The sequence below is a fragment of the Homo sapiens genome, chromosome X, assembly GCF_000001405.40.
Source record: "Homo sapiens chromosome X, GRCh38.p14 Primary Assembly".
NCBI classification, from domain to species: domain Eukaryota; kingdom Metazoa; phylum Chordata; class Mammalia; order Primates; family Hominidae; genus Homo; species Homo sapiens.
Genome location: NC_000023.11, coordinates 110,750,803 through 110,764,038, shown reverse-complemented (window position 1 = coordinate 110,764,038; position 13,236 = coordinate 110,750,803). Strand labels below are relative to the sequence as shown.

The window sequence follows — 13,236 nt, the reverse complement described above, 5'->3', positions numbered from 1 at the left end:
AATGCCCAACAAACATATGAAAAAATGATCAACATCACTAAAGATCAGGGAAATGCAAATCAAAACCAGAATGCAATACCACCTTACTCCTTCAAGAATGACCATAATCAAATGCAATACCACCATACTCCTTCAAGAATGACCATAATCAAAAAACGAAAAAACAGTAGATGTTGGTGTGGATGCAGGGAATGTAAACTAGTACATCCGCTATGGAAAACAGTGTGGAGATTCCTTAAATAATTAAAAGTAGAACTACCATTTGATCCAGAAATCCCAGTGTTGGGTATCTATGCAGAGGAAAAGAAGTCATTATTCGAAAAAGATACTTGCACACGCATGTTTATAGCAGCACAATGCACAATTGCATAATTGTAGAACCAACCCAAATGCCCATCAATCAATGAGTGGATAAAGAAACATATAGATAAATAGATAGATAGATAGAGAGACAGAGACAGAGAGTCAGTATGTGTGTGTATATATATATATATATATATGTTTCTATTGATTATATATATGTGTGTATATATATATGTGTGTGTGTATATATATGAATACTACTCAGCCACAAAAAGGAATGAATTAACAGCATTTGCAATGACCTAGATGAGATTGGAGACTATTATTCTAAGTGAAGTAACTCAGAAATGGAAACCGAACATCGTATGATCTCACTGATATGTGGGAGCTAAGCTATGAGGATGTAAAGGCATAAGAATGATACAGTGGACTTTGGGCACTTGGGGGGAAGAGTGGGAGGGGGACAAGAGATAAAAGACAACAAATATGGTGCAGTGTATACTGCTAGGGTGATGGATGCACCAGGGTCTCACAAATCACCACTAAAGAACTTACTCATGTAACCAAATACCACCTGTACCCCAATAACTTATGGAAAAATAAAATTAAATTTAAAAAGATTTTGTACATCATTGTCAGACAAACCTGGGTTTGAGTTCCATCTCAGCTTCTTACTGGTTATATGACTCTTGATTTTCCTTATCTATAAAATGAGACTAATAATAATATCTACCTTATGGGTCATTGTGGTGAGGATCCAGTGAGCAAAGTATGTATAACACTAATCCCCTAATAGGAATTCTATAAATACTTGCTATGCCACTTCTCTTGATGTATAATAAAATGGATGGAACTTGTGATTGCTTTTGAATTTTGTGACTTGGTTGATGTTTCCTAACAGGCATATTCTCCATCTCCTTCTTCACAGATTCAGAGACATATTGCATGTTTCAAGACAAGAAGTACAGAGTGGGTGAGAGATGGCATCCTTACCTGGAACCTTATGGGTTGGTTTACTGCGTGAACTGCATCTGCTCAGAGGTACAATCTCTCATGACATGTGATTTCCCAGTTTGCTCCTCAGCATGCCGAGAGGCTTTCAGTGCCCAAATGGCCAGGGACCATGGATGATAAAATCCTTAAAGAAAGTAAAGAAGCAGACCGATCGCACTGTCTCACGCCTATAATCCCAGCACTTTGTGAGGCTGAGGCATGTGGATCACTTCAGCCCGGGAGTTCTAGACCAGCATGGGTAACATGGCAAAACCCCATCTCTACAAAAAGTACAAAAATTAGCTGGGCATGGTGGCACATGCCTGTTGTCTCAGCTAGTTGGGAGGCTGAGGTGGGAGGATCACTTGAGCTGGGGACTTCTAGGCTGAAGTGAACCGAGATTATACCACTGCACTCCAGCATGGTTGACAGAACAAGACCCTATCTCATAAAATAAAAGAAGAAAGTAAGAAGACGATTGCAAGAAAAATAAACATTTTCTGTCTTCTGTCCTCTCTTGCTTTTTGGCTTGATTTTCATGGGTTCTCTGAATATTTACTATGGACAGATATTTATGATCTCTTAGCCTAATGATATAGGGCATGGTTAGAGAAGGCAGAAGAGCCTGATAGTGGGAGTGGAGGCAAAAGCTCAATAGAATGTTTAGATTGTAAGACAAAGTAGTTTTTGAAAATTATTTTAAGGCTGACCTTTAGGGAGAATATTAGGACAAATTATAAACTGGTTCATTGGGAGAGTGGATTCTATGTTGTCTCAGCCAATAACTGTAATTAAGACTGAGTTTGTGAAACGTTGGCCTGTACCTCTTAAGGATTAGAGCTCCCTTGGCTTAGCCTTGGCTCTTGTCCAGTCATTTAGAAAGGATTTTGGTTGGCATAAATGCCATCTTTGCAATAGATAAAGCAGGTTGTTCCATCTTCTTCCCATGGTCTTGACCCAGGAGCACAGCTGTGGTCCATCTTTCTCAACAAACCTCTGCCATTATATGTTAGGCTAGAGTTTCTTGTTTGCACTATAGATATTTGTTTGGGGGCTGTCCTGCGCATTGTGGGATGTTAAGCAGTATCCCTGGCCTCTACCCATTAGACAACAAGAGCACCAACCCCAATCCTAATAACCAAAAATGTCTCCAGACATGGCCAAGTTGCCTGGGGAGCAAAAATCACCCCTGGTAGAGAAGTGGTGCACTAGGCTAATTGGAAAGGGAGGCCTTGTACTAGGCATTGAGAATTCTGAACTTACACAAAGAATTTTCAAGACCAGCTTCTTACCTGAGACCTTTTGTAAGGACTGCACCTCTTCCCTCATGCCCAGCTAGAGCAGGAACAATCACTTGCAAGCCTGATCCATTTACCATTTGAACATAATTTTGGGCTGTCAGAATTTTGAGCATGTGGAAACATAATTATCAGGTAACATCAGGCAGTATTAAGAGGCTATGAGGTTCTAGAATAAAGACAGACCAAGTTTCCAGCCCTGCCTCTGCCACTTATGAGCCACTGGACAAGTTACCTGACCTCTGTGATATTCATTCATCTTCCTCTTTTTATAAATGGGATAATGATATTACCATTTCATATGGTTCTGATAAGGATTAAATTTACAAATCCATTTAAATCATTTAAAACAATACTTAGTCTTGGTAAACATTCAAGAAATGTTAACAGCTGTTATTGTCATCATTGTTGTCCTTATCATTGTGGTTATCATCATCATCGTTATTATTATTAATCTATTAGCTCTAGAACAGAATTCAGTATATAGCATTAATGAGGATTCACTTTAGACCTCAGCTGGGAGGTGTGGTTTCTGATGTGCTTCAGTGATCTCAATTCAAGATTATACCACCTGCCTCTGAGGAGTGTGATACCTGAGGAGCTTCTGTGGTGTTGCCAAATGCAACACTCCAAAAAAAATTATTCTAGAAAGTACACAAGAAAAGGAAAAGGTTGGGATAAGGCAATTCCAATTTGGATAAAAGAAGCCCGCCTCTTTAAATGGTTAGGGCATGTATTAAATAGATCATTTGGGGATTGATTAACTGCCTGGGATGGCCTGATTTTGTCGGATTCTTGACGCGACACATTTCGACACGTTGGAGATGGACAGCTAACCATTGGGAGCTGAGGCTTTGATGTCTGCAACGCAGTCAAAATGTTAAAATGATCCCAATGCCAACAGCTCAAGCACAAGGCATTTTCTATTTCTATATCCTCTTCACTACTTTCTTCCCCCACAACAGCCTGACAAATACAAGTAGCCCTTGCTGCAAATGATTTATGGATGGAAAATGTAAATGAAAAATTTATTTCCAGACTATGTCTTTGTTCTAGAAATGGTTGTGAGCTGTCAGAGCGAGGGGTCTTGTAATTGTAAATCAGGCAGGGACCCAGTCGCCCCACCCAGGCATACTACCTAATCAGCTAAATTCCAAACTCTAGCTCGTCCTCAGAAGAATTTTGGCTAAAAAGGAAATGAGAAGAATCACTTGGCCCACTGGGCCAAGGCAGATTTATATGGAATCCAGGATCCACCTGCTAGGGATGCCTCCTTGCCCAGGGCTGGGTAGCAGCTCAGGGGACCCATTGCTCATTGTGTCTTTCATGTTATTGGACAGGTGATTATGAAATCAGAGTAGGTTCTTGGAAAAGACATGCAGCTAGAGCTGGGGAATGGTAGAAATGCCATGGAGCCAGGCCAGAAGAAGCCTCCCACAATTAATGGGAAGCTTTGAAAATTGGAGGAGTGGTGATCTCAGCCTTAGAAAAATATGCCAATAAACTATCAACCAACCCAGCAGAGGTGCTGGTGATGAGAAAAGGAAAGAAAATGTTGAATGCATTCAGCTTCTTGGGAATGCATTATTCACTGCCTGGGTGAGTCCCTGCATGACTGTTTCCCAAACTGGCTTGATCCCAGCGACCTTTGAAAGACATTTATTTTTTCTCATTGCCTTCTCTTTTTCAGAATGGGAATGTGCTTTGCAGCCGAGTCAGATGTCCAAATGTTCATTGCCTTTCTCCTGTGCATATTCCTCATCTGTGCTGCCCTCGCTGCCCAGGTAAAGCAATTTGTCTCTTTCTTTCCTAGCTGTGGTTCTCCATTTCCCTCTTCACCCAACTCAACTCATCTCCATAATTCCCCAGAAGGGAAACTTCCAGACAGATAACAATAGGAACCTTTAGGCAGTCCAAACTGGCCTCTAAATACTTTTTATAGCCCAAATGGGGTACATTCTAGGCTCTAATAAGTTATTGGGTACCCAGTAACAGATTTTTATTGGGCTTTTAATCATTTGAAGGTGGGTGTCAATCGGAGATGGAAATTGTGGCCCAGAGATTTTCTGCTATAAGCAGCCTCTTCCTGCCATGGGCAGCAGGCACCAGGAGAGTTGCAGCATGGCGGCATGTGTCTTATACAATTAGTGCTGGAATTGCATCCGAGCATAGCTTCTAAATTATGAGGGGGCCATTCATAAATCAAAGGAGCTGACCCAGTGAGGTTTATGACAGTATAAAGCTGCCTGCCTGCTGAATAGTCACCTCCTCCAGACTGCAGTTATTATGTACACATTGTTAAGTGTAATTCTAAGGGGCAGCCAGGCAGAGAATTTTTCACACAACTGTTAGGACATCTACTTTCACGATTTGCAGCTACGGTATTTGTCTGAGGCAGGGGCTCCCTCAATGACACTTTGTTCATGTCTGACTGGGGCCCGATTCCCACCCCAAAAGCGTGTGGAGTGATTCAGAGAATGCCTGTGGGCCCAGTGGCAATCCTAGAAAAAGCTACTTGACACTCTTGGGCTTTGTGAAGTAGAAGCCTTATCATCCTGTAAGTTGATTCCATTTCCCTTTAGGGTAGAAATTCTTGAACTAGGGTTCCTGGATGGGCTTTTGAGGGTCAGAGAACCCTTTAAAATTGCTTGCAGTTTTTGGTGTAACTATGTATATTTGTAAATTCCTTTAGAGAACATCCGCAGCTTTATTGTCAGTCCCAAAGGGGTGTACAGGAAGAACCACTACCCCAGCTAAGGTATAGACGGTGCTTTTTAAGTGGTGAGGAACTTCCAGAACTTATAAGAGAGAAACCAAATGTATCCAGGCAAAAATGTTAGGAATAAGGCTGGGAATGGGGTTCAATGAAAACCCAGTCAACTGAAATGTTCCAAGAGTGGAGAATTTTTTTTTAATGGAGAAGAAACACCCAAACTCTTTTTGTCACTACCTTTATAAAATATATTTTCCTGCATCAGTAAATACACCCTAATGAACACAGGTGATTCATTTCCAGATGGCAGAATATCATGCCATATCACAGGTTTTTAAATTCTGAGTGTTGGTGCTGATAGTATATGCTTTGAGATGTCAGAGATTGACTTGGCATATGACCAACCTAAAAGTTGTTGGGTTTTTTTTGGAATAAGTCCCTAAGCCAGGCTTACTGTTTCTGTATGTGTTTATTTGCTTCTTCTTCCTAAACTGGATTGCAAGAATGTGGTATGGGTGGGGGTGGGGGCGCTCTGGTAAATGGGAACAATGTTTCTGATAAAGTTGCCACTCTGGAGAGCTTCTTTGTTTTTTTTTTTTTTGTTTTTTTGTTTTTTGTTTTTTGTTTTTGTTTTTTGGTTAACCTGCCAGGTAGCCTGTCAGACAGCCTTATAAAAGCTTTTTATTCCTCAGAAGTCTCCAAAAGTGGTCTAATGTCATAGGAACTTATCTAAACTTCTGTGTAAAGATTGTTCTTCCCTGGGAAGAAGGTTGAGGCATGACCCAGACCCAGAGCATGGGGCAAAACAACATAGAATAGAATATGGCTGCACCTACCCCAGCTGCCTAACAGGAAGCAAGTATTGAGAAAAAGGGAAAGTATAAGCTAGCAGTTATTTTGAGAGAAAAATAAAGTGTTAAAAGAACTGAGCTCAAAAATTCCAGAGGTGAAAGCGTTGAAAGAAATAAACACCATTATGGTTAAGACTTAAAAAGCTCATTTTATGGTATGGAGGATAGAAATAAACTATTCCTTTTCTTTTCCTTCTTGCTCTTGCAGCTCACTTCTCCATGAGTTCATTTTTCTTCTTGTTAACTATAACCTTTAACAGCTCTTTCTGTGGGTAGTAGTTCTAAAATTCCTTAGTCCTTATATACAAAAAAGTGTATTTATTTTACAACCATTCTTGAATGATAATTTGGCTGGGTATGAAATTATAGGTGCATGTTCATCTCCCCTCAGCACTTTGAAGATATTACTAAATGGTTTGTTGGCTTTATGTTTGTTTATTTGTTTGTGGTTAAGAATTCTGCTATTTGTAGTTCTTTTGCGGGTTCTTCGTTTTTTTTTTCTTCTAGCTTTTAAAACTTTCTTCTTTTCATTGATGCACACAATGAGATGTGTAAGTTTGATTATTCTCTTCAGCCTGCTCAGCACATGATTTTTTCAGCCAAAGGAGTCAAATTTCTCTTCAATTTTTAGTCAGTTTTTTTTTTGAAAATTATCTCTTCACCTTCTTATTTTTTCTCATTCTCAAAATTGTCTTTGGTGTATATTATTGCATCTCATTTAATTTATCCTTTATGTCTCCTAATGTCTCCTTTATTTTTCCCTCCTGATATTCTCCCTAAAATGATATATTACTTCAACTCTGTTCTCCAATTCATGAATTCTTTCCATGCATACTATTTAGGCCATGTGTTGGGTTTTGTTTGTTTCTTTGTTTATTTTCAATAACCTTGTTTCCCCTCAGGTTTTCAAGTTATTTAAAAAGACATCTACATGATGCTAATTTATAACCTGTTATTGTTTTGGGGAATCTTATTCTCTTTTTTACTTCTTTAAAGTATTTAAAAGTTTATTTGAAGTCCATTTCAGATTGTTCAAATATCTAAATATTTTTAGATGTGAATTGTCACCTTTGTTGGGTTTCTTGACAGCTTTTCTTAGTTCTGAATTTTCCTTGGTTTTCTACTTTTTCTTTCAAAGCTCATTATCCATGGGTGTTTTGGGTTTGTTTTGTTTGTTTGTTTTTGTTTTTGTTTTTTCTTACATGAGCCCTTCTTTGTGGGATGGTTGTTGCAGGCTTTATAGTTCACTTTGCTCTAAACCAGGTCATATATTAATGACTCGGTTTGGGCTGCCTCATGCCTGAATGGTCTATTTCTACCTCTGTTTTCTTGTGCACTACTAGTCTCTGATAATGATCATGGACTGATCTACAACTGCCTCATCTACAACTGCCTAACTTGGACAATCAGTGTTTTTTAGGGAACACTGAGTGGGGAGAGCTATGTCAGCCCCTGTTTACATGCGAGTAGTGTGACCCTAGTCCCCAACTTCACATGGGAAGCCACTTGCAAGCTGTAGTTTCTCCTCAGCCATTTGGATCCAAACTATCCATATTCAGTCCCAGCTGCTGATGGACCATATGGCTTTGGCTCCCATTTATTGCTGTACTTTCCTTCTATATTTTATTCCACGAAGAGTTTTTTTGTGTTTCTGAATATAATTTTGCAGTTTTCACGTTTTATTTATTTATTTTTCTAGTTCCACATTTCATCTCTCTTTGTTTTGAAAATAACAGGGAGATTTCTCATGTGTTCTCTTTGCCATATTGAACCAGAATGCAACCAGCTATTCTTTCTTTCTACTGAAGATAAAACAAGAGTAAATAGCTTTAAATCATAGCAGAGAGGAGTGGAGCTTGACAAAAGGAAGAACTTTGAACACCGTGGCTGTTAAATCCTAGAATAAATGACTAAGGATAATTTTAGTCTCTTTACTTAATATTTCTAGAAATAAAAAGGTACCCACCCATCTGAGATAGAGTTGGCACAGTCCTGCTTTGAGACAGGGCAATGGATGTGATGACTCCTCTGTGTTCCTTCCACCCCAGTGATTATTAGGCATGAGGAAACTCATGCCTTCAGGGCCACAGAAATGTTTGGTCAAAGAAAAGGGCTCTGGTTTTCCATCTTAACCCAATGGAAGGCACTGTGATGAAAATGTCCTCATTTAAGAAGAAAATATTTAAAGCCAAGATGATGAATAAGCTCCGTATAAAAAGACGACAAATAAGCAAACTGTATACCCCAGATACTGGCTTTACATACTGTCCTATAGCAGTATTGATTTAGAGAAGCTTTTGCCTAGGTGGTAACAGACTCAGTGGAAGTGTCCTACCTATCATGCTTAGAGCTTAGTTTCCATTGAAGGAGACAGAGGAGCCATCTCATTTCATTTGTTTATGTATTTCCCATGGCTCTTGCTTTCTAAACTCGTTACCCCTAAAATTTCCAAGGAGCCCACCTGTATTTGAAATTGTCTCCTACAGCTCCTGCTAAACCGTGGAAATCAGAGTATGCAGGCAGCTCTTCCAGAAATACCAGAGAGAAATCTATACTGATTCCCACAAAGAGCAAATAAATTTTTTTTCATCAGCACTTGTCCAAGTCTTGGCAGAGGTCAAGTCTTAGTCACATACCACAGTGCTCTACTGGGCCCAAAGAGGCTACATGGAGGCTGGAACATTCTTAATGGAAAAGTCAAGACTGCATAGGACTCATGAACGTCATTAAATTCATCCTGGTCTCTAAGCAAGACTCTGTGGAGTCCCTGATAATTAAGAGATTTTAGTGATTTGAAGGAATTAAATTCCCTATCTTCTCTTTTGGGGGAATGAAGTGGTAATGCTGGAAGGGAAAGTAAAACAACATGACTTATTTTCATAATATGTGTATGTATATATTTCATAATATATATATTTTATTTTATATATATGCACAGAGAGAGAATTTTATCACAAAAAGAAGAATTTTATAGTGATCAGGAGTCTAAATCATGATATTATCTAAGAGGGCTTTTTAAAATGGTCATTCCACTGAGAATTTGCTATTCAGAATTAATAAATTTGGGTTTTCCTGGAGGTATTCCAGCATTCCTGGGTTATTAAAGAGCTCTTATAAAATTGCCAAAATAACTGATTTGATCTGGTTAACAGAGACCTAATCCACAGTGTTTCCTTTTGGCTAGGTGTGAAAAAGTTTGGCACTATGAATGGTTTTAATAGGAATAGTGACAGTGTGGTTTGCCAAGAGAGACACCCCAGTCTTAGATATTCAAGGTAGGTTAGGGAAAAGACCTTACCAGTGTTGCACTATAGTATGTGTTCCCATAAGGAGAATGTGGGAAGCCCTGTGTCATTTCTCTTTCAACAATAGTTGGGTTGTGAGTGAGCTAGCAAACACAGGCATTTCTGCCACAATACAATATGCACATATCTGAAAATCCTCACATTCTACAAAATTGTACACTGAAAAATCACAGGGCTTAAGGAAAAAGTAGCATTAGAGAAAACCACTCAAAACTTAGGCAACTTTGTAACCAGAATATTAACAAAGCAACTATACTAATGAAATACTAACACAGTTTAAAAAGGCATCTTACATTTCTAATAAAATATTACAGTAAATATAGACTTCTAGACTTCACCTTTTAAAATGGTAACATTAGCTTGAAGGAACAGTGTTTAAGGAAGGATTGAAGCTGCTAAGTTATAGAGACAACAGTAAATTGCACAAAGATCACGGAGAATCATGTAATAAGCACTTACAAGACAGAGCATGTGGCCCAACTGAGGCAAGAGGAAGAATGTAGGGCAAATGGCTTCCTGATTTCAGTTGAGTTAGTGTACTTGGCTTTTAGCTGCTGTCACTTGGTAGTGCAAAATATTAATTTGCTGGGTAATCATGTATGAACTAATGCAATTTCTATTTTATACCAACTTCATTCCCTTATTTAGCACTCACATATGAACCACTTGTGTTACACAAATCCACACTATAGCACAGACTGTGTAAGATGAGGTGGGTACATGGCATTTGACTGTAGACAAGTTTAGAGTAAGAGTTGAAAATCACTTGTTTACTCTGAATCTGCTTTTTTTTGTCTTTAATCACTGACCTATCTGCCCTTGTGTTCCCCTTTTCTCCCATCCCATGTATTTATATTAAAAAGGAGTCTAGAGTCTAGGTCTATGACTATGTCTGTCTATATCTGTGACTTCCACAGTTACAGTAATCAAGTAGACAGGCCTTTTGTGTTTCCTCCAGTTTTTTTCTAGGGAAGGTTCAAAAGAGAGATTTATTTATTTATTATTGTGGTAAAAGATGCATAACATAAAATGTATCATTTTAGTGTATAATTCAGTGGCATTAAGAACATTTACAATATTGTACAAGTGGTAAGAACATTTACCACTAATCTAGTTTCTGAAATTTTTCACCACCCCAAAAGGAAACCTATTACACAGTCACTCTCCATTCCCCTTTTCCCCTAGCCCCTGGTAACCATGAATCTACTTCTCTATGGATTTGCCTATTCTGGACATTTCACATAAGTGGAATCATACAATTTGTGGCCTTTTGCATCTAGTTTCATTCACTTAGCATAGTGTTTTCAAGGTTCACCCATGTTGTAGCATGTATCAGTATGACATTTCTTTTTAGGGCTGAATAATCTTCCATTATTATGCATAGACCACTTTCGTTATCCATTCATCTGTTGGTAGTCATTTGGGTTGTTTCCACCTTTTGGCCATTGTGAATAACGCTGCTACGGACATTTATATACAAGTTTTTGTGTGGCATATGTTTTCAATTATTTTGTATATACCTAGGAGTGGAAATTCTGGGTCTTATGGTAATTTTATTTTTAATTTATTGAGGAATCTCTCTTAAATTTTAAGGTTGCCCCATCTTCTTTTAGTTCATTTCTTTGAGTACCTACTGCCAGCCATCCTCATGGTTGCTGCTGATTTGCTGCTTTTGCCACCATCCATATCTGATCTCCATTGCTCTCTTCTCTCTTCTATTCTCTTCTGAATTCTATATTCGTTTGTCTCTTGGATTTTATCAAAACAGATCAATTCCTTTTTAACAGTAACAGCCAATTAGCATATTGTTTTCCCTAGTAAGGTGACTACAATAGCTGTAGTGTGCAAGATGATCAACCAGGAGCCACTCCTTTGCCTGCAAAAGATTGGTATATATATTACACATAATAATTACATATATATATATATGGGTCCAGAGTTATCCAAAAGCCTGAGGATTCTGAAATGTTGGTGTCTGAATAGCAGATATTTTGCTTTATTATTATTATTACTATTTTAGGTTACAGAGGGGCTGCCAAAGGAGATGTTCACTTTTGATCACTAGACCCTCCATGTCCATACTGACTGTTCTCTTAGACCCCTTTAACCATCTTCCATGCCTTATTTCCACTATTTTTCTCATACTGTTGGTCCTTGGACACTTGACACAGTACAAGGGGTTAAAACCTTCTTCAAGAAAGTAGCATTTGCTGGGTGCACTGGCTCACGCCTGTAATCCCAGCACTTTGGGAGGCCGAGGCAGGCAGATCACGAAGTCAAGAGATTGAGACCATCCTGGTCAACATGGTGAAACTCTGTCTCTATTTAAAATACAAAAAAATTAGCTGGGTGTGGTGGTGCATGCCTGTAGTCCCAGCTACTCAGAAGGCTGAGGCAGGAGGATCGCTTGAACCCAGGAGGTGGAGGTTGCAGTGAGACAAGATCGTGCCTACCCTTCCCAGCCTCTAGTAACCACTATTCTACTTTCTGTTTCTATGAGATCAACTTTTTTAGCTTCCACATATGAGTGAGAACACACGGTGTTTATCTTACTGTTCCTGACTTATTTTGCTTAACTTAGTATTTTCAAGTCTCATTCATGTTGCTGTGAATGACAGGATTTCTTTATTTTTTATGGCTGAATAATACTCCATTGTGTATATATACCACATTTTCTTTATCCATTCTTCCGTTGATGGAAACTTACGTTGATTCCATATCTTGCTGTTGTGTGTGGTCCTGCGATAAACATAGGGATGTAGCTATCCCTTTAATACACTGATTTCCCTTTTTTTGGATATATACCCAGTAGTAGGATTGCTGGATCATATAGTAGTTTTATTTGTAGCTTTTTTAAGAAGCCTCCATACTGTTTTCCATAGTAGCTGTACTGATTTACATTCCCACCAACAGCATATGAGTTCCCTTTTCTCCACATCCTCACTAGAATCTATTACATTTTGTCTTTTTGAACATAACCATTCTAACTGGGCTGAGATGATACCTCATTGTGGCTTTGATTTGTATTTTTCTGATGATTAGTGATGTTGAGCATTTTTATATACTTGTTGTCTATTTATATGACAGAGCCTTGATACATTAGTACCCATTATGAATCTACCAGAGAGGTATATGGGATGTAACATTGTCTAAATTTATTCAGCCATAATACCCATTTTTTGGAGGCACTTTGCAGAATTAGGGTTCTTTGTTATGTGCTTCAAGAAGTGTTGTATTTTGCCATTCAATTTCTAGGAGCAATGTATGTTATAGCAATAAGCTATTGGTATATACAGTATCTTAGTTTGGAGAAGTTTGTTAGGGTAGTAGGCAATTTTAGCACAAGACCCTAAACTAGTACTACTCAAATTTTAACATGCTTAAGGATCACCTTGGGAGATTTGATAAAATGCAGACTCCCAGACCCTACACCAAAAATCCTGAATCATTTAGGCTGCAGTGGGTGTCATGCATTTCACACAAGCATCCCAGTTAATTCTGATGCAGTCGGATTGAGGACTGCACTACAGTAATAGGGCCCAGGGGAGATTTTGAGAAAGGAGGTCAAGAGAACTGCCCACAGAAAGCCGTTCTGGGTAAGATCTTGCAGCAGTGGGATCTCCAGAGGGCTGTGGGCAACATGACAACATTGTTTCGCTGATAATGGAGCACATAGACACTCTGGAAACACATTTTCCTTGTGTGACATTTCCCCAGGACTAACCCTGCAGTAACATGTGCACAATGTGCCATCTGGCCTGCCCCTCTGCTTT

The 13,236-nt window shown here is 38.8% G+C and overlaps 1 protein-coding gene across 12 annotated transcripts in view; it reads left to right on the top strand.

Moving 5' to 3' along the window:
• CHRDL1 (chordin like 1) overlaps positions 1 to 13,236 on the top strand; it is a 121,962-nt gene that overhangs the window by 31,779 nt on the left and 76,947 nt on the right. For all 12 annotated transcript variants that reach the window (NR_159734.1, NM_001143983.3, NM_001367207.1 and 9 more), the window contains exons 3-4: positions 1,232 to 1,344; positions 4,285 to 4,378. Coding sequence is in view for 11 of the 12 variants with exons in the window: in NM_001143983.3 (NP_001137455.2) it covers positions 1,232 to 1,344; positions 4,285 to 4,378 (207 nt within the window). In the remaining variant the exon portion in view is untranslated. The remainder of the gene's footprint in view (positions 1 to 1,231; positions 1,345 to 4,284; positions 4,379 to 13,236) is intronic.